The sequence below is a fragment of the Homo sapiens genome, chromosome 18 (assembly GCF_000001405.40).
Source record: "Homo sapiens chromosome 18, GRCh38.p14 Primary Assembly".
In the NCBI taxonomy this organism is placed as follows: Eukaryota; Metazoa; Chordata; class Mammalia; order Primates; family Hominidae; genus Homo; species Homo sapiens.
Genome location: NC_000018.10, coordinates 69,383,495 through 69,404,056, shown reverse-complemented (window position 1 = coordinate 69,404,056; position 20,562 = coordinate 69,383,495). Strand labels below are relative to the sequence as shown.

The 20,562-nt window shown below is 37.8% G+C and overlaps 1 protein-coding gene across 1 annotated transcript in view; it reads right to left on the bottom strand.

Annotated features, from left to right (window-relative positions):
* The window catches only part of DOK6 (docking protein 6), a 448,200-nt gene extending 445,031 nt beyond the window's left edge, over positions 1 to 3,169 (bottom strand). Inside the window, exon 1 of the mRNA NM_152721.6 lies at positions 2,747 to 3,169. Within this exon, the coding sequence (NP_689934.2) occupies positions 2,747 to 2,812 (66 nt within the window). The 5' untranslated portion in view covers positions 2,813 to 3,169. The remainder of the gene's footprint in view (positions 1 to 2,746) is intronic.
* Positions 3,170 to 20,562: the final 17,393 nt, after the last annotated feature.

Here is a 20,562-nt window from a genome sequence, read left to right as displayed (position 1 = left end):
TGAAAGCATGAGTACTGTCCATAATAAATCAAATATCTATGCATGTTCAATTATAATTATTTATATTTTGAAATTTAGTTTTGGACATAAATCACAAAAACTCATCGTGTCCTTGGAGTTAAAAAATATGTTATTTGGAAAAGTTCATAGTTTTGAGTCCATAAAATTAGGAATATGTATTATTAACTATGCAAAGCAAATATTAATGTTTGGATAACTTCAATTTTTATGATTTGGGGTATGACTCTTTAAGGCACACAATATTTGCTTAGTTTTACTATCTTATGGGACTCACTTAACTTAGTAAGCTTCACAGAACCAGCTATGTGAAGTTTTGCCATTTAAATTCACTCTTCTGCATATTAGAATATTCTGAATAGAAAAGTATCTGACTTAAAAAAAAAGTTCCCAAAATAGTCAAGGTGAATTTAATATTTTGATTTAATTTAAAACAAAACTGTTTCAATATCTAACTTTGAAGTTTACATTTCTCAGGTAGAAATGGAGGACAAAAGCAATTAACTTTTATATGAACACACTTTTATTGTTTTCTATGAAGGCTGCACTTTACAAAGGCAAAGCTCTAAACAGTGAACACAGCAAAAGAGGCTTTGTAAGTGTAAATATACATTTGCACACATCGTTAGGCAGAAATGGCGTTCAAGATGACATTTCAAACGCTGTGAATGCCATAGTTACCCAAGAAGCAATCAATGCACTTTCCTTGGGCCCTATGTTATAATTGGGTTACATACTCAGTTTTTGTTGTGTGAAATCCTGGAGGGCTTGGATGGGGTGGAGGGGAATCCTATAGACTCCAGGGCCAAGTGCGCAGGAAGGGGATGCTCAGGCTACATTCTTCAGTCTCATTTTCATATGCAGGTGACTCTGTGAACGCAGACATACATCTTGTCTGGGACTTAACTCATCCATTAGTTTATATAGTCTGAGGCATCAGATACAATTGCGATTTCAAGAAGATCAAAGGCCGAGAAAAATGATCAAGCATCCAGTCGTAAAGCAAAGGGCTTCAAAGGTCAAGCTAAGAAGACGACTCCCTTCCACCTCCAGCTCTGCACCTCCCTTGGCTGACAGCTGTGTGGTGACAGACTTGAGCATTCCGTCCCGGCTGCGAGGAACAACCAGACTCCTGGAGAACCGCAGCTTTTCCCGTGGGTTCGTCCTTATATGCCTGGAAAAGAATGAGGCGCTTTCTTCTACCCAAGAAAAGCCCTTGAAACCTGGCCGAGGATCTGACTCTGGCGCCTGCTCTCTCTCGCCTTGGTGGGGCTCACGGCAGCGCACGTTGGCTCCAGGCTGGAGGAAGGGGGGCGTTGCTGTCACCCAGCTCCGCACTCGCTCTTGCAGCCTCCCAGCCTACTACAGAGCTGCTGAAGTTCCAGAATGGGCCCCTGTTGTCCTTGGGGTACAGTCTGCACCTTTAATGCGAAACCCAGCAGAGGCAGCACCAAGAGTCAAGTCTGCCTTTCCCGTCCTCCTGTCCCCAACACCTGGCGCCGCCAACTCCCGACAAAGCGACTCCTGGTGCTTGGTGATCTGCCCTCTTTCGGGGATTCTACCTTATCTTTCTTCCACTCTCTAACACTACCCTTCTTTTGCTTTCTTTTTTACACAAAAATTAGCAAAGTCCTCCCCTCTTTTTCCCCTTCTCCAAGTTGGAGGATTCATCCAGTCATCAGGGAACACAGGAAAGGTTCTAGCTCAAGGACCCTTTGCCCCGGGAGGCAGGAGCTTGGTAGAACTGGAAGTTGGAGAACAGTGAGGTAGACACAACCAGAGTCTGGAACAGGGGCCCTTTCTTTCCCAGACGAGTTTCCCCTCGCTTTTCTGGACCAGCCAGCCGGGGTCAGCCTCCCAGGCCACCCTACATCGCGCGCTCCCCAGGGACCTCCTGCCCATCCCTCCATCCTCTCTCTCGCGTCCCAAGTCTAGGCTGCTCCCGCCCAGGTGACAGCCCCTCCTGTCCCGCTGCCTCCCGTGAGTCCCTCCTACCGCCTCGTCTGGTCACTAGAATAGTTTTGAACCCTTGGGTTCTACACGGTTTCCCTCCCAAGCCAGGCAGCGCATCTCTCAAGAATAGGGAAAGGTCTCCATCAACTTTGCCGTCACGGAGCAGTGACCGCGGGCGGGCGCGGGGCACACACCTGCCTGCACGCGGGCGCGGGTCCCCGGGTAGGGGAGCACTTGCGGGGCGCGGGAGCCGCCCTCGGCCACGGCGAAGGCGCCCTAAACTACAGCCGGCAGGGACGCGCGGCGCTGGGAGGGCATCAGACGGGAATTTCGAATTGAGCTTGGGAAGCGGAGACCAGAAAATGGTGATTCTAAACACACGCGAGCGTCGCCACACACAGCAGTTCCACCCGAAAGGCGCACACTTTTGAGAACAGACCATCGTGGATAGCACCGCAAAGAAACCTCCTCCAAGGCACGTTCCTCGTTGGAACTGACAACCCCTTTCGTCTACTGACTTCCCCGCACGGTCGAAGACAGCCCGGTGCACTCGAGGATGGGGACTCAGGCGCTCCTGGAGTCCCCAGGTCCGTCTGCGGAGCCCCCCGGCAGGTGTGGGCCCCCACCTGGCCAAGCAACAAGCGGGCCATCCGCCTAAGGGCCGGGTCCCTCTCTGCCCTGTACCCGCACGGGTCACCTCTCCCTGCCCCCCCCCCAGGCAGCCAGCCGGGCCGAACGAGCGCCGGGGAAGGAGCAAGCCGAGCGAGCCACTCACCCCAAGCTTCCTGCTGCGGATTTTCACGTAGCCCTGCTTGACTATGTCGTTAAAGTTGGAGGCCATGGCCAGCGCGATCGGGCTCCTGCGCCCCGCGATCCGCTCTCCGGAGTCGAGAGCCGCCGTCCGCCGCCGGGTCTGCGCGGGTCTCGCATCCAGCCGGCCGCCGCCAGCAGCAGCGCCGCCGCCCGCTCTTCCCCGAGCTCCCGCCGGTGGGGACGCGGGGTCGCCTGCAGGGCCGCCGCGGACGGGGAACGGGGCCCGGCGCCGCGAGCCGCGCCAGCCCTCCGCGTTCTGGCGCTCACCTTCGCTCCCCGCCGCGAGCCCAGCGCCGCGGCCCGCGCCTCCGCCAGCTGCGGGAGCCCCCACCGCGCCGCCGCCCCCGGCAGCACCCACGGGCTGGCGCCTCGCTCGGCGGCGCACAGCTGGCCGGAGCGCACCACCGCGGCTCCCCGGCGCGGGGGGAGGGGGCGGGCCGGGGGGGGCGGGCTGATGCGCCGGCCCCGCTCCCTCCCCCTGGCCCGTGGGGTGGCTGGGCTCGGAGACGCTCGCAAGACGCGCTCCATCCCTCTCCGCGCGGGTGGGAGCGCCTCCGCCGCCGGGCGCCCCGAGGCCCGCTCCCCACCCGGCTCCCCGGTCCCTCAGCGCTCCCCGGGCGCGAGATTCCTAAGGACACGGCGCCTCATTCCCGGGCTCTAAATCTCCACTCGCAAGCTGTGCAGCGGGGAAAGGGCAGTGGGGACACTTCCAACGCGGAAGGCCAGCGGGAGCGAGACACTTATTTCATTGGCCTTGTTTACAGTACATTTTTATTCCCAAGCACTCGCGGCCGTTCCAGGTCTCTGCCCCGTTAGGAAGTGTAAATCGACGCCAGACCCTTCCTGGTGCACACAAAGAGACCAATCGTGCGCATGTGTCTAATCCTCCCGCAGCCTAGAGACAGGCAGGCGGGCGAGGCAGCCGGGCGCCGACGTCCTCTGCTGAAGGAGTGGAGAAGACCGACCGACCCGAGTGGTTGATTTATGCATGCGTTTTCGTTAACTAGGACTGAAAGTGGCTCCTGGCTCTTCTGGGAAAATGGAGAACGTGGTTGTTATCAATGGATACCAATGACTTCCTGAAATGCTCAACTTGTACAAACAAAAAATGAAAAACTTTCTCCCCTTAATGTAGAAACACATGGCATTTTAAAAGTAGGTTTTTCATTATTGTAAAGATGTTTTAATTTTTAGGATTATGTTTTTGTGAAAGATTCGAGGAAAAAGAGCGATGTTGAGTTTTGGCCGGAGGCAACATATGGATTTTTACTATAGGCTAGAACATTTAGTACTTACTTCTAAGGATGTTTCTAATTAGTAAAATGTATAAAGATTGACAATTTTTAAGGTGACTCCTGCAAGAGTTATATTTAGTAAAAGTTCAAAAGATGATGTTTGTTTATTACGGTGAGCAGTATTTTTCCAGGTTCTCATTTAAAATTTCCTACCCCATTTGAAACACAATAATAGAAAGAAAGGAAACTTACTTGAATGAGGTTGTGGGGGGAATGTAAAAACTTGAAGGACAAGGTAGCTCAGTCCAACCAGATGAGCATCCAAGGGAGATTTTTGTCTCATCCTTTGCAGAAATCTCCATCTAGAGCCCGTGTAAACCAATGGAAATTCTTACTTGCTTTAACAGCACACTATTCCTATTCATTCATTAATGTGGGCTAGCCTTTTTTTTTTTTTAAATAAAAAAACCTTCCACCGTGCAAAGTACCAGATGCTGGGGCAGATCAGATACTAAGGATAACATGGTAAAATCCTTTCCGCTGTCACTCTGGAATGGGCCCAAACTCTGACCTTCCCAGAAAATTTGCATAAACTCCCTGGAATGGGCTCAAGCTCTGACCTTCTCAGAAAATTTGCATAAACTCTCTGATAACTCCTTGTAATTCTTTCCTCTAAATACCTGGCACAGCTTGTCTATTCCACCCACTTCTTACTATTTCATACGCTGCATGGCCATTTTTTTTAGAAATGTAAAGACTGCTTTAGGTTTGTAAATGCTTTAAATAAGTGATTTCATTCAGCCCTCTTTGCAACCACATATGTTAAATGTGGTTGCCAGTTACTAGAGGAAATTGAGGCTCACAGACATTCAGTTGCAGAGCCACACGTTTCAAGATTGATTTGAGGTCTACAGTGATTTCTATGACCACTGACTCCTTCTCCTATTTATATAATCATCTGTTTCACAAGTCAATTATCAGTTCTTTGAAGTCAGGGATTAGTTTTGTCTCAGCAACAATCTTAGTGCTTACATAAGTAACAGGTGTGATCAATAATCGTAGCTTTTAATGATTATGTATGTGATCACTGTGCCTACATTCATGTTTATCAACGTCTTTGTAACACCCTAGCATGACTTCAATATTCTCATTTATCTTTTATTTTTAAATTTGTGATACAGCAATTTTTATGTATGTGTGTCCCTCTTTTTATGATCTTTATTTGCTTCTTGAAAGCAGTAGGTTATCTGTCATGTAAATTTTCCCAGTTCTGGATTTGGTTGCATAGCATCAATTAAATATGTTCACCCAAGTCCCATGTTTCCTACTAATGTGACTTAGAAACTTACCTGCATTCTCCTTTTTTTCAAAATAATTAATAAAAGATGCTGTGTATATTCTACTGAATCATACCAAAGGAACAAAATATCTAGCTGTCCAATTGATTAGAAGATTAAAGTGTTGTCAACACTCATCCATACATTATAAAATTATAAAATATAAATTATATGAAATTGTAGAATTATAAAATTCTCCACCAACCTTCCAACTAGTGGTTTTTGCAGCCACTGATGATCATTGCTTAGATACATTATTTCATTAGGGATTGCAAAGTTGTGATTTTCTAATTTATCTTTATTCTTGAGTTTATGAGTATATACCCTCTTCTAAAAAACAAACACATAAACAAAAGTTCTTTCCCTCACAAATTAGAGAATTCCCCTGAAATAGACACCCTATAAGAAAGGCAGGCTTGATTCTTAACCATTATTATCCATGTTTTAGAAATCTTGAATGGGTTCTAGCAAACTAAAAATGAATCCCTGCTCCCTTTGGAATATCATTTTCAAAAATGCAGTTTTGTATATTTGATGTATTTCAGGGCGTCACAGTCATTATTCTTTTTGGTGTCTGAACTACCCCATCTTAGGTGAGAAGGAGCTGCTTCCATAGACATTTTTGCATTTTGAACAGGTAACCATGAACTTTACTGGCCTGGCTGTGATCAATAACAAGGTATCCCATGCTTATCTAATACATTTCCAACTGCAGACCTGGAATTCATTATTTCATTTGGAACCTTCATTTGTTTTAATGAGAAATGAAATTCATTTCCCATAATTTGGTTGCTAGTGGTGTTTTTTTGCTACTAGTTTTATGCTTTTCAGTTATAAAGCAAGGAATCTTTTTTTTTAATTTCAGAAATATATATTAAAAGAAAAAATGCTCACTTTCAAAGGATATTTTCAATTCAAATTAATGTTGACATATTCCATATTTAAGGATCGCTTCTTTTCCTTTGAGATACTCACTATGCGAAATATTTACAAGTTTCCAAAGTCAGACATATCAAATAAGGCACGTTGAGAGATATAGCTCTCATTTCTTTCCCTTCCTCTCTTTGTAAGAAACAATTTTTATTAGTTTTTGGTTTGCCCTTTCACTGCTTTTTTTTTTTTTTTTTGACAATATAAGGAAAGACATATATGGGTACCTATTTTTGTCTTTCTTACAAAAAAAAAAAGAAAAGCATACTATTCAACATTTTATTACTCCAGTAGGCAGCCTCTAAATTGGGCCCTAAGACTTGATATCGGGCCCTGTGTAATTCCTCCTTCTTAGTGTGGGATGGACTTTCCCGCCCCACCCCCGCTCCGCCGCCAACTTCTAGTGAATACAGCAGAAGTGATGGAGTGTTCTTCCTGAATTAAGTTATAAAAAGACTGTGGCTTCTTATATGCTGAGTCACCTCTATTGGATTGCTTGCCCTGGAGAAGCCAGCTACCACAGTGTGAGCAATCCTATGGAGAGGCCCATGCAAATGAGCCTGGAGGGTGACCATCTGAGGCTTTCCAAAAGCCATGCGAGTAAACTCAGAAATACATCCGCCCAGTTGCTTTAGGTGGCCACACCCTGGCAGTCACTGAGAGAGCCTGAGCTAAAACCAGCCAGCTATGCTGCTACTAGTTGTTTTTCAACAAAGGAAACTTTAGTTATTTGTAAATTAATAACTAAAATAGACTTTGGTATGTGGAAGTAGGGTGTTGTCTTAACAACGACAACAACAAAAAAAACCCCTAAAATTTGAGAATGATTTTGGAATTTATGAGTGGCCTTGAGAAGAGTATTAGTAAAGGCTGAAAGTATCTTCAACATGCTGTTTGTAGCATTTTGTACTTTGAGGGCACTGAGTAAGCTCACACAACAAAGTGAAGAAAATGTGATTGAAAATTGGAAGGAGGAGTATACTGGTTATTCAGTGGCAGGAAATTTAGTAACAATGTTCCTTGCAGCTATGTGGAAACTAGAAAATATATGTAATAAACTCCCTGATCTAGATAAGAAAATCTCCAACCACAGTATTTGAAGTGCAACTGTTTCTTCTTTCCATTTAGTAAATTTTTGTTTGTTTGTTTGTTTGTTTGTTTGTTCAGACGGAATCTCACTCTGTCATCCAGGCTGCAGAGTGCAGTGGCAAGTCCTGGCTCACTGCAACCTCCGCCTCACAGGCTCAAGTGATTCTCCTGTCTCAGCCTCCCGAGTAGCTGGGACTACAGGCATGCGCCACCACGCCTGGCTAATTTTTGTATTTTTAGTAGAGATGGAGTTTCACCATGTTGGCCAAGCTGTTCTGGAACTCCTGGCCTCAGGTGATCTGTCCATGTCAGCCTCCCCGGCCTCCCAAAGTGCTGAGATTACAGGCATGAGCCACTGTGCCTGGCCCCACTTAGTACAATTTGAGAGGAGAGAGATACACTGAGGGAAGACCAGAAGGGAGCCAAGAACTGATGATGGTTTCGAATATTCTCACCTTCTCCAGACTAGGATGCTCAAATTAATAAATGACAGCTGAACAAAGATTTCATCCTGGGCACTGACTGCCGTGAATATTTAGTGTAGAAATAATGTCAAGGGAGTGACAACAAAATACATTTTTTAAGATTTCAGAAAATCAATGATTTTATGGTCACATTCTTGGCTTTATCTTTACACCACATTGTCATGGCACTGCTCTTGATTTGATCTAATGAAGAGAGTCACAGGAAACCCACGACATTCTTGAAAGATTTATATATGCTGAAGCTTTGCCAGACAAAGATAGTCTGCAATGAGGAGAGGCACGTGGATCCCCAATATTCTACTGACAGGAAGCAGGCAGAGAGAACAGGTCAGGTGCAGAAACATGCTGCATAAATAAATAAATAAATAAATAAATAAATAAATATTACTCATAGGGAAGAACCACGAGCCTAGAAGGGAGAGCAAAGAACCTTGGAGGATTATACCCACACCCTGAGAACTAGTCCAGGAACTTCCAACATTTTCCCATCTGGATTTCAGAATTATCATGGACCAGTAATTGTTTGCCTTCTGTTTTCTCCCTTTTCAAACAGGAATGTGTATAGTGGTTGTATTATGCTTGTCCCACCATTGTTGGATATATGGTAGGCAGATAACTTGTCTCTTTAGTTTCAAAGGTTTGAAAGAAAAGATCTACAGTTGAAAAACTGTGCCCAAGGCATTACACTTGAGAAGCCTCATTTCTGTTTCATGTAACAAAACTTTGTACTTTGAGTTCAGACTGTAGTGAGTGAGAATTTGAAGGTCTTAAAAGGGGTTGGCATACTTTGCCCACGAGAGACATGAAGCATGGAGGGTCCGGGGCAGCCTGTGGGAAGCAGCTTTTAAGATGGGTCTACAACCTCCCACCTCCTTACAATCCCCTCTTTGCGTGTGGCTTGGACTACTGAATAAATTCTCAGTCTGGCAGAAGTGATAGAATGTCATTTTCAAGAATAGGTTATCAAAAGAATGCGGGTGTATTCCCTAGGTATCTCTCGCTCTCTCCTTTTTTCCTTTCGTTTGCAAAATGAATATACTCCTTCTTTATGAATGTCATCTAAAAGTATTATTTAGTTCATGTTTCTAATTCAAAATATTGGAAATCTAAAAATACGCTCTAGATCTTTCCTGGCACTCATTTTTAGGGAATTATGCTTTTTGAAAATGTATTTTAAGGATGTTTAGTTTACTGGGCGAGAGACTGAGTTAGGGTACCCTTGGCATCCGTTTTCACTTGTACCATGAGGTAGCGAAAGATACGGCTTCTGAGTATGCCTTTTGAGACTTCCTGAAATTAACCTACTCAGGTCACTCACCCACAAATATCTCGATCTTCTTCTCATAATGACAGATTCCTGTTCGGGTTCATTTTTATTCTAATGTCTAATAGTTACCTCCTCAATGTGGGACTTCATATTTCAGAGCGCTAATCCTCAAGCAACTCCTATACACTTGCACCTCTATCTACAGTCTCCACACAACCACTTGAAGTTTGGGACATCTGAAGCCCAATCTTTTAAACTTTTTTTTTTTATTAATTGTTCTCAGATTGATCTACTTATTCCTTTAGTCTAAGCAGGAAATCTTCCTCTAGAAAGTGTATCATTGGAGACATATATATATATATATATATATTTTATTCTTAGGTCAGTAATAGATTGTTCTTTTCCTCTTGCTTCTCCTATACAACTGCTTTTCCCCTGACATCCTTGTTGCTGTTGGTGATTAGCCATACCCACCCTGATTTTAGCTTCTGTGGCATATCTTGTCACTTAGTTAAATTAAGAAGTTCTATCAAAGTTTTTCCTTTTCTATCCCCGTTGCTGTCTTTGTTTATTTGACAGGATTTAAGATATTCAAATTATTTTGCTACCCATACCGACACCATCTTACAGAGCACCCACTTCTATCTTTATAAGATACTGTTTTTACGATTGAAAATTTTTACATAAATATTTAATCCACTTATTTAAACTTATTTGAGGGAAAACCGACATCACTACATTTCTGTTAATGTTTAATATACACTTCTTGAATAGATCTTTACTTAATATGAATAGCCCATATATTATCTACTAAAAATAAATATGTATTTGCTTTTGTTTTTGTACCTTCTATTCAGCTGAATAGAATAGTCAATTTTTATTATAGAACCACTTTAGTCATTTATAATAATTACAATGTGGATTTCATATGCTTATAATGGTGGTTAACATCTGTCACTGCAAGTTCCTTTCCCATCCCAATGTATGTATTATAATTGTTCTTTTCAAAATTTGTGATACTGAAGTTTTATTCTATAAATCCCTCCCATACGCTCCCCACAATCCTCCCATTTCCCATTGGATTTGCTTGCAATTATATGATTTTTTTCATTAAAATTTGAGTAAATGCATATATTTCAAATTTTGAATTTTCCTATTTAGATTATGAGTCTGCTTCCTTTTTCCATAAATCATACTACTTGGCAACATATTGCAGTATTTAAAAATATACATCATGTTTACATATTTCTTTTAAATTTATTCTTTGGCACATTTTTTGCTGTCATAAATAATATTGTTTCCTTTATTAAATTTTATCACTGATGATAATATTAGATTATTGGAAATGCTTTTATAGAAGTCTGATGGAAAGCTCCTACTATTTAGAATTGATTTTAAATTGATTTTCTTGCATTTTTTGTTCAAATAAAAATAATTTTATCTCCTGTTCAATATTTTTACTACAATATTTTTTATTTTTTTATTTGCAATGGATATAACTTCTGGAACAATGTGAAGTAACAACTGCTAATGCAGTCATTCAATAACATTTTTGCTAAATAAGAATTTGAGGAGGGATTAAGGATTAAAATGTTAACTATTCAGATAAAATACTTCTTTTCAAATCTTATTTTATAAAGTACTTGTTAACCAAAATATTTATTAAATTTTACTAAATGTGGGCGAGGTGCGGTGGCTCACGCCTGTAATCCCAGTGCTTTGGGAGGCCAAGGTGGGCAGATCATGAGGTCAGGAGATCGAGACCATCCTGGTTAAACACGGTGTAACCCCGTCTCTACTAAAAAAATACAAAAAAATTAGCCAGGCGTGGTTGCGGGCGCCTGTAGTCCCAGCTACTCGGGAGGCTGAGGCAGGAGAATGGCTTGAACCCGGGAGGCAAAGCTTGCAGTGAGCAGACATCGCACCACTGCACTCCAGCCTGGGTGACAGAGCGAGACTCTGTCTCCAAAAAAAAAAAAAAATTTACTAGATGTGTCTTTTGTATCTGTGAAAATCATAATATAATTTTTATCTTAAGTTTGATAAACTAAGCATATTAGTGTATTTATTTGTGTTGACCATCTTCAATTTCCTACAGTACAATTTGGTTAATCAAGATTAATAATTAATCTAATGTATATCAATGGGATAAGTTACCTGTGATTAATGTAATTACTTTATAGTTGCCATGAAGTGTTCTGTGTATTTTTTTAAAAAATAAATAGCAAATTATATTCCTTTTTCTATATTCAGAAACATTTTAAATAAAAAATGATCTGGTCTATAGAAGTTTGACAAAATTTTCGGCCCCATATATTTGACAAGTTAATTCTTTTATTGCTTTAAACTCATCTGAATTCAATGGGTCTTCCAGGTGTACAAAAAATTTTCTCTGCTAATTTTAGTGATTTATGTAATATAGAATCACAAGTATCTTTAGGATTTTAAAATTAATATTTCATGTTGTATACAGAATTTTAAAAATCTCTTTGATGTTTACAGTAGTAGTCTCTTGTTTCTAAAATTTTGTATTCCCTTTCTTCTTTCTTTCTTTTTTTGATTATGTTTACCAGGAGTAGGTTTACTTTTTCTCATTAATCAACTCATATTTTTATTATTTAATTGCATTTTTTCATTTAACTTTTACACATACACATAGCTGTCCAAAATCTTTTAAAAAAGGTATAATTAGTTTCTTGCTATGTCTTTACTTAGATACAGCCCCACTTCCTAGAGTCAAACACATTTTAACACAGAGGTCCCCAACCCCTGGGCCATGGACATCACACACAGAACATCTATCTCTCTCCTACCTCCTTCAAATATTATTTCTTTCACTCTCTTTATTTCCACTATTGTTTCACTGCATATTATAGCCTTAATTGTGTTTACTCAAAATTTATATATTGAAGCCCTAATTCATGGTACCGTAAAATGTGACTGTATTTAAACAGGCAGTCAAGTTAAAATTAGGTTATTGGTGGGGAGAGGGGATCTAACTGAATATGTCTGTTGTCCTCAGAAGAAGAGGAAGTTTGGAGATAGACAGGTAGAGGGAGAAGATGATGAGAAGATATGGGGAGAAGATGTCCATCTACCAGCTGTGGAGAGAGGCCTCAGAAAAACCTAACCCTGCTGATCCTTTGCTCTCAAGACTTCTATTGTTTAGCGTGTGAGAAAATAAATTTCTGTTGTTTGAGCCACCCAGTCTTTGGTACTTTTATATGGTGGCCCTAGCAAACTACTACACTACGCTACCTTAAATATTTTATGGCTGTGGAGGTCTTCACATATTTCTTTAAATTTATTTCTTGACATTTAAATGTGATGTTTTACTGCTAATATAAGTAATGTTTCTGAAATACCATTTTCATTTTATTATATAGAAATACAGTTGATTTTATATACTGACCTTGCTACATTCACCTATTAGATCTAGTAGTAGATTTGCAACTTATTTTGAGTTTTCTACATATACAATGATGTCATCTCTGAATAAAAATAGTTTTACTTTTTCCTGCTCTGGTTAGGGTCTATTTAAAGTTTAACGGAATTGGTAAGATTGAATGTCCTTGCCTGTTCACTTACTTTGGGGAAATCTAATATTACATTAATTAAGGTATTAACTTCATAAATAGCTTTTGTTATGCAGAAATTTCTATTGCTGGTTTTCTGGTAGATTTTATATGAATAGAGGTTGAATTTTATTAAATGGCAAATGTATTGAGGAGGAGACTGTTCAAAGCACTTGCAAGTCTCCAGTTGGTTACTTAGGCCCCATGTCATTCCAAAAATTCCACTTGGTTTCTCATTTCCATACCTATGGACCACCAATGGGAGCAACCTAAAAATTCTCAGTCTCCAGTTAGAGCAATATAGCCAAATATTCTTAGAATAGAAATGACTGCTTACACATGATGTCAACACTTTCTCTGTGGCTTTAAATACTTACTCATCTGTTGTGTTTTCAAAGGTGTGATGGATCTTTGACTCCTAAAAAACAATAAGACTATGAAGAAGTTGCATGCTACTTTTCAGAAATTTTTGACTTCACCTTTTAAACCGTGCTGCATAACTTCAGAATTCAACACATTTCTTTAGAGGGGAAATTGTTTGAGGCCCTTCACATGTCCAATTTTGTCAGTATCTGAGAATTTTTCTTATGATTTATTTTACATGTTTTTTAGAAATATGTTATTGTAGGCCGGGTGTGGTGGCTCACGCCTATAGTCCAGCAGTTTGGGAGGCCAAGGCAGGTGGATGGCCGGAGCACAGAAGTTCAAGACCAGCCTAGGCAACATGGTGAAATCCAGTCTCCACAAAAAATACAAAATTAGCTAGGCATAGCGGCATGCACCTGTAATCTCAGCTACTCAGGAGGCTGAGGTGGGAAAATCTCTTGAGCCCATGAAGTCGAGGCTGCAGTGAGCCAGGATCCCAGCCCTGCACTCCAGCCTAGGTGACAGAGACCCTTTCTCAAAAAGAAAAGAAATATATATATATATATATATATATATATATATATATATTAGTATAAAAGAGTCTTCCTTTCCATTGTTTTCTAGAGATGTTATGATTTGCCTGGAACTTAACCTATGCTAAAGTAGTTGGTAAATTCATAATAGATTTTTTTGGCTTATGCTATGAAAATGCAACCAATAAAAATATTTTTAAAAAATAAAGTTTTCATATGTGGACAAGTACTTAAGTGGTGAAGATTCAACAATTAATTTTTTAAATTGAGTTTATATTTTTCTTATGTCTGTCTTGTTACAAGAAAGTTAAATTGAACTCTTTAAAACTTAACTTCTGTTTATTTTTCTTAGATTTCAATAGATTTTGCATACGTATTTAACTGCACTCTTGTTTAGTGCATCCAGATTTATGAATGTTATAGCTTCATCATATATTATGCCTTTTAAAGTCATTTAATATCCTTTATACCTTTTGGTGCTCTTACCCTTCAAATATGTACTCTTCCTGCTCCTTATTATATTTGTCATATGTCTCTTTACCAAACTTTTTATTTTCATTATTTTAATTTAAGTGTATTTCTTTCAAACAAGTTTTACACTTTAACCCAACTTGACATTTTTTGACTGATAATGAGATAATTTATTTAATTCACATAATTTATTTAATTCACACTTATAATAATGGCTATGCTAGATTTTATTCATTTCCTATATATTTTCTATTATTGGTTGAACTGTTTTTCACTTTTTTCTGTGTTTGTTGCATTGACATGTTTTTTAGTTATTCATTTTTCTTCATTAATTTAGAACATCAAATGTAATTTTCTGTTCCAGAAATGAATCTTTTTTCTTGCCTTTTAGGCAAACATATATGATTAATCTACTGGATGCACCAATTAACTCCCCAAGCAAAACCATTTCCCCCCACCAAGATATTCCATTTTTCCTTAAGTCCCAAAGAAATAATTTTAGAGTAGTTTTATTTTCATCTTCTCTTTTTTCCTACCCCCAGTAGAGATTTAGAATGTGTTTATTTCTCTTCTCTTTTCCTTTCCTCCAACTATAAGTTATTTTCTTCTGAGATGAATTTTTCATAATTTGTCCCTTAACTAACACTGTATGACAAATTTCCAGGCCCTTTTCCTACATCTTAATATGATATATATCTCATATTAAATATGATATATCAATATATATACACATATATTTATATATACACACACACATGCACGCACATACACATATACATTCATATCTTAAGGTACTCAGCATATTTTTCTCTAAGTTTTATATTCCTCTACTGTAGGTATTTGGGTGTTTCTTGTGGTCTTCTGTCTCTATTTTTGAACAGAGTCTGTCCTGAAGTGGGTATGTGATTGGTAGACTTTGGACTTTTGCATCCTCTTTAAACATCTTTCTCCCTGAAAATTGAATAACTTGTTAATTACAGTGTACATTCCTGGGTTTCAGTCCTATATCTCGGTGATTTGTATATGTTATTTCATTGTCCTCAATCTACAGTGTGCAGGTAAAAAATGCAATGTTGACTGACTTTTCCTTAGTATGTAACTTTTTTCTTTCTGCTTTGTATCTTGCAAATTTTTCCTTCATCCTTTAATTTCAGAAATATACCAACAGAGCCCTGTGTGCTTTCTAATTAAGGCACCCTGGAACTTAACACTTTTGTTTTATTACTAATATTATAGAAATATTTTCTATTATTTGTATTATTTCTTCAATTTTTGCTGCTCATACATATATTATCCTATTTCTTTTTCTGGAATTTTTATTATATCCAGAACGCTTTTTGTTGTTTCCCCTTATTATTTTTTCTGTCTCCTTATGTTTTTGGCTCTCTTCCCTGAGACATTTCTTGCACTTGATGTTTCAGATCATACACTCAGATGTCAACAGTAATTCTGCTCCCTTAACTCATATTCTAAACATATAATTGGGAAATTATGTATATGTCTCTTGAAAGTCTTTTATCTGCATTAAGCTGTCATTTTGATGTTCTCAGGTGTTCTTTGTATTATTTTATTGATACTCACTCATCTCCTCCATCAGTTGTGCTTCATGTGGTTTATTTTGATTGCTCTGCCATATTTCATTGGCTTCCAGACTCTTCTTATTTGGACTGGCTCCTGTCTAGATGTTGCAGATTAATAAATCGTGAGAATCTTCCTTTCCCTTTGAGGTATGTAGATCTCTCTGCACCACAACCTTTCTTGATCAGTGGCTTTCCAGTCTTACCTTTTTGCTGTTTTTCAGACCTCAGAGGAGAGTGTGACAACCAGTTAATCTTTTTAGACTACAATAGGAGAAAATTTCTCCACTTGCACCCGGCTCTTAGCTCTTAGCCATTTGACTCAGAAAATATGAGGTGGGGCAGTAAGCAGCAAAAGAGAGAGCCCCAATCCTCTAGTTTTTCCTTTTGTTTTCCCCATTTTTCTCTACGGGAGCTTTAGAGCACATTGAATTTGAAGACCGGAATCTCTGCAACCATGAGAAATTTTCTTCTCTTATCTTAGTATTTTTTTTTTTTAATTCCTACTACTCAGAAGTTACACTTTTTGATTCAATTTTGTCTCTTTGTTTTAATCTATTGCTTTTTGCTTTCTAATTTGGGATATTTTCTGGACTGTTTTATTTAATCCATTCCATTGTGTAATAATTTTACTTTTACTTTGGCCCTGATACTTTTTATCAATCAGAGTTTTGTTGCTCTGATTTTTCCTCCGAGAAGCAGTCTGCCTAGTCTTTTAGATGCAATTTTTTCCTTATTCTCTGGGGACGTTCACTACATTTTAAAGTTCTCTTCTGCTGTTTGCATTATCTGTTTCATCTGATTCTGATTTTTGTTGTTGTTTAAACTTTGTCTTTCTAGTTCATGATTCATATAATTTTCAGCTAATTAGTGACACTTGGTGGACATATATATATGTATTTTAATTAATGAATAGGAAGGCAGACTGGCAGATATGCATGTGTGAGCAGCACTTACCTTTAAGATTAGAGCATGGGGAGCCATCCTTTATGTTGGCAACATTCCCAGTGAGAAATGAGGAGAGCTTTACTCAGTCAGGAGCACTCACACTGGTTGGCTTTGTTCCTCCCGGTTAGTTCAATTTCCTTAGAGATGAGCCCTCTGAATTTTTGCCCCTGAGTAAAACGCCAGATTGCCAGATTTCAGTGGAATAGGTCAGTAGGTGGGTGAGGTGATGACTTCCCTATGTAATCTTTCAACTATTTTCTATTCTATTTCCTTTCTCTACTATAGATTCTGCTCTAGCCTCTAACTCGAGCCTCTTAGGAATGGTGCCAAGCCGACTGACTTTCTTCTCCAATGCAACAACTTCCTTATTTATTTAATTTTTTTTTTTACTGCAACTTTCTCTGCACTCCTTCAGTCATCAGCTCTTTTCCATCCACTTTCTTTATTCTAGAGGTGCTCAGATAACATCTCTTGATGGCTCCCCTCCAGCTCTCTTCACTATTGTGACTATCTACCTCTAAAATATTTTTGTTTATTCTCATTTTAGAAGAAAAAGGATGGAGATGACACAATAGCTAATCATTTCGAAAAGGAGTATTTTTTCTATTTGTCTTTCCTAAATTTCTTTAAATTTATTGTTTTTACTATTTTTGCCTTTTAAATTAGATGCTTAAATAACATGTTTATTTATTTATTTAACTACCTATGTTTATGTTTTGAAACTTGGTCTCACTGTGTCATCCAGGCTGCTGTGCAGTATTGTGAGCATGGCTCACTGCAGCCTCCACTTCCCTGGCTCAAGTGATCCTCTCACCTCAGACTTCCCAGTCACCGCACCTGGCTAATTGTTGTATTATTTGTAGCAATGGGGTTTTGCCATTTAGCCTAGTCTGGTCTCGAACTCCTGGTCTCAAGCGATCCACCCACCTCAGCCTCCTAAAGTTGGGAATTACAGGCATGAGCTACCTTGCTTGGCATGTTTGTTTGTCTTTACATGGTGAAACCATTTAAAGCTATGCACTTTCTTCTAAGATCAATTTTGTGCATATTTGCTATATTGTATTGTTCTCATTATGATTACAGTCATTGAGAAACAGTCAGATGTTAAGATTTTGATTCATTTTTTGATTTGAGAGCCATTTAATAAACCTAAAAACTTCAGTCTTAGATGACACTTTGCTGTTAATTTCAATTTTTATTGCATTTTTGTCAGAATGAATTCTATTTAATTAAGCTAACCTATATTGTTATAATCCTATAAAATGAATACTGATTGATATTTTCTCTTAGGAAAATATAATTAACTTTTCAAACTATTCCCATGGGTTTATTTATTTTGAGAAAACAAATTCTCAGTATGTGCACATGTTGCAAATTGATCTTAATTACATTATTCAACCCTTTATATCATCATATACTGTCTACCTTGGCATAAAAAGTTGAATGTATTAACTTCAACTATTGTTTCTGACAATTTTTTGTGTGTGTATTGCCACACAAATTTATCTCTAAGATTTTTCATGAGGAAGGGGACACAAACATTGGCGTTTGAGATTGTATAACTTTGTTGAGCCTCACATATTTGTATTTAATATAAGTAGTATTAATATTTCACAGTTGTCTATGAGGATTATATGATATTTCCAAGACCATCATATATAATATTTACTCAATAAATGCCAGATATATTTTTATGTTTTTTTAAATTTTGTTTTGCCATATACATTTTGATGCAATGGAATTCAGTGCATAAAATTGGGTCTGTTTTATCCTTTAAAATACACACTTGTTAACAAAGTTACTGTGGTAACATATTTTGCCTTGAGTTCTCCTTTGCTTGATTTTTTTAAGACTTTTTTCCCATTCATACTTATAAAGAGGTCTAAATTAATCTATTCTGTTTTATTTTTATGTTTGTGGATCACATTGTTTTTGGTGCACTTGTTAAATTTGTTTTTTGCATTGTTGGGTTTTTCTTATTAATCTAATCCTAGAATCCTTTGTTTTTATGAATAATATAATTATTTTTACTCCTATTTTCTGCATCAATATGTTGTTTTCTTACTTTCATATTATTTTCGTGGTTACTTTTAATGCTTTGTTAGATGGTTAGGTATGCGTTCCTTTTATCTTCATCAGTATTTTAGAAAATACAGCATCTTCCAAAATATTGAGGAATATTATATATATAAAGATATATATAACATATAGAAATATATATTATATATAAATATACACAATACATGAAGATATATATATCTTCCAAAGATATAAATATATATATATACATATATAAAATTATAACTTATTGTTTCAAATATTTCAAAAGCATTTTGGTACATATTTTAATAATTGAAGGAGATAAACTGAAACACTATCTTTGATTTTTCTCTTATTTAAGATAGCGTTTAGCAAACTTTTCCTTGCCCTCTCCATCTAAATAAGCTTTAAAGTATAACTTGTGGTAAATTGGTTGTTTCCAACATATTTTTTCTGTCGAAGATATATTTGACATTTTATTCAAATTTATGATCTGATTTATTATTATAATTTAAATATAATAATTTTTTTCTTAACTTATCATGGAAGAAAATATTCGTATCTCTTATTTCTATTTCCCATTAAAGCAAGCAAATAGGTTCAAGGTATTAAAAAGTAATGTTTAATTATTAAAAAATAATTTGGAATTAAAAATCTATGTTAATAAATTGGCATCCTCATTGATATATAATATGTAATATTGATTGACATACTTATAAGACAGGTAATTTAAGAGAAATAGAATTAGTCAAATGGGATTGCAGAAATTTATTTCTTTTTAGCTAGAGATATCTAATTTCATAAAACCAGTATTTCGTGTTCAACCCTCTAGTAGTTTTTATTTTAATCCAGTGATTTGTCCATGTGAGATGATATTTTGAGGTATAGCAGATATAAGAGAACCAAAATAAGGGAAAGTTCTTTTTCTGTTAGAAAGCAGATGCACAGGATCTCTTAGAACAGAAAACATGGACAGAGAATGATAGATGGGGGAAGCTTCTATCTTGGAGTCCCACAACCCCTGAGGGCTGACTTCACATTAGGACTTTGTAGACCCTGTATTTGCAGATCTGTCTTGTCCATGATACAATTTTTAACACTCCTGTTCTGTCTCTAACAGCTTCTCAAATATATATACATATATATATATATATATATATATACATATATATATATATATATATACATATATATATATATATATACATATATATATATGTATATATATTTGGTGCTAGTGGAATAAATGCAGCTTTTAATATCATAGCTCATTATGGAGCTCCATTATGCTTAAAATGACCATGTATACAATTAGGAATCAGCTTGAAACTGAATAAAGGCTATAGGATTTGAAATCACATGCTCTCATTTAGAATTTTGTTTCTGGAACCTACAAGCTCTGTAAACTGGGAAGGTTTGGAAAGTCATTTATCTGTTTTAATCTTAGGTTTCTTTGGTAAAACTGAAGTTGGTATTCAATACAAATAAAATGTTCCATATAATTGGTATGAGGATCAAATGACAGTTGAATGAAATCGGTATAACCCTAAAGCACATTATAAATATAAAATGCATTACCTATAACCTCAATTATTATAAAGGATTTTAAAAATATTTAGAAGATATAGAAAAAGAACATTCACTTTGCCAAACTCTGCACTTAACTCTCTAACAACAGACTCAGATACATATCACTGATATCTTCTTGTTCATGTGGAGAAACATTTTAACAGATCCAGTATGGAGTCCTGAACACAGATAGCTGTATAAAGAAATGAAAATAGTTATTGGATATAAGTATGCAAAAGCACCTTAGGGAGAGTATTTACAGCATGTCTTTAAAATCAAAGGAATATCGATTTTAAAGAAAGAGAAGAGCTATGGGAAGTTTATACTTGAGCTTTAAAAAGACAATAGTAGGATCT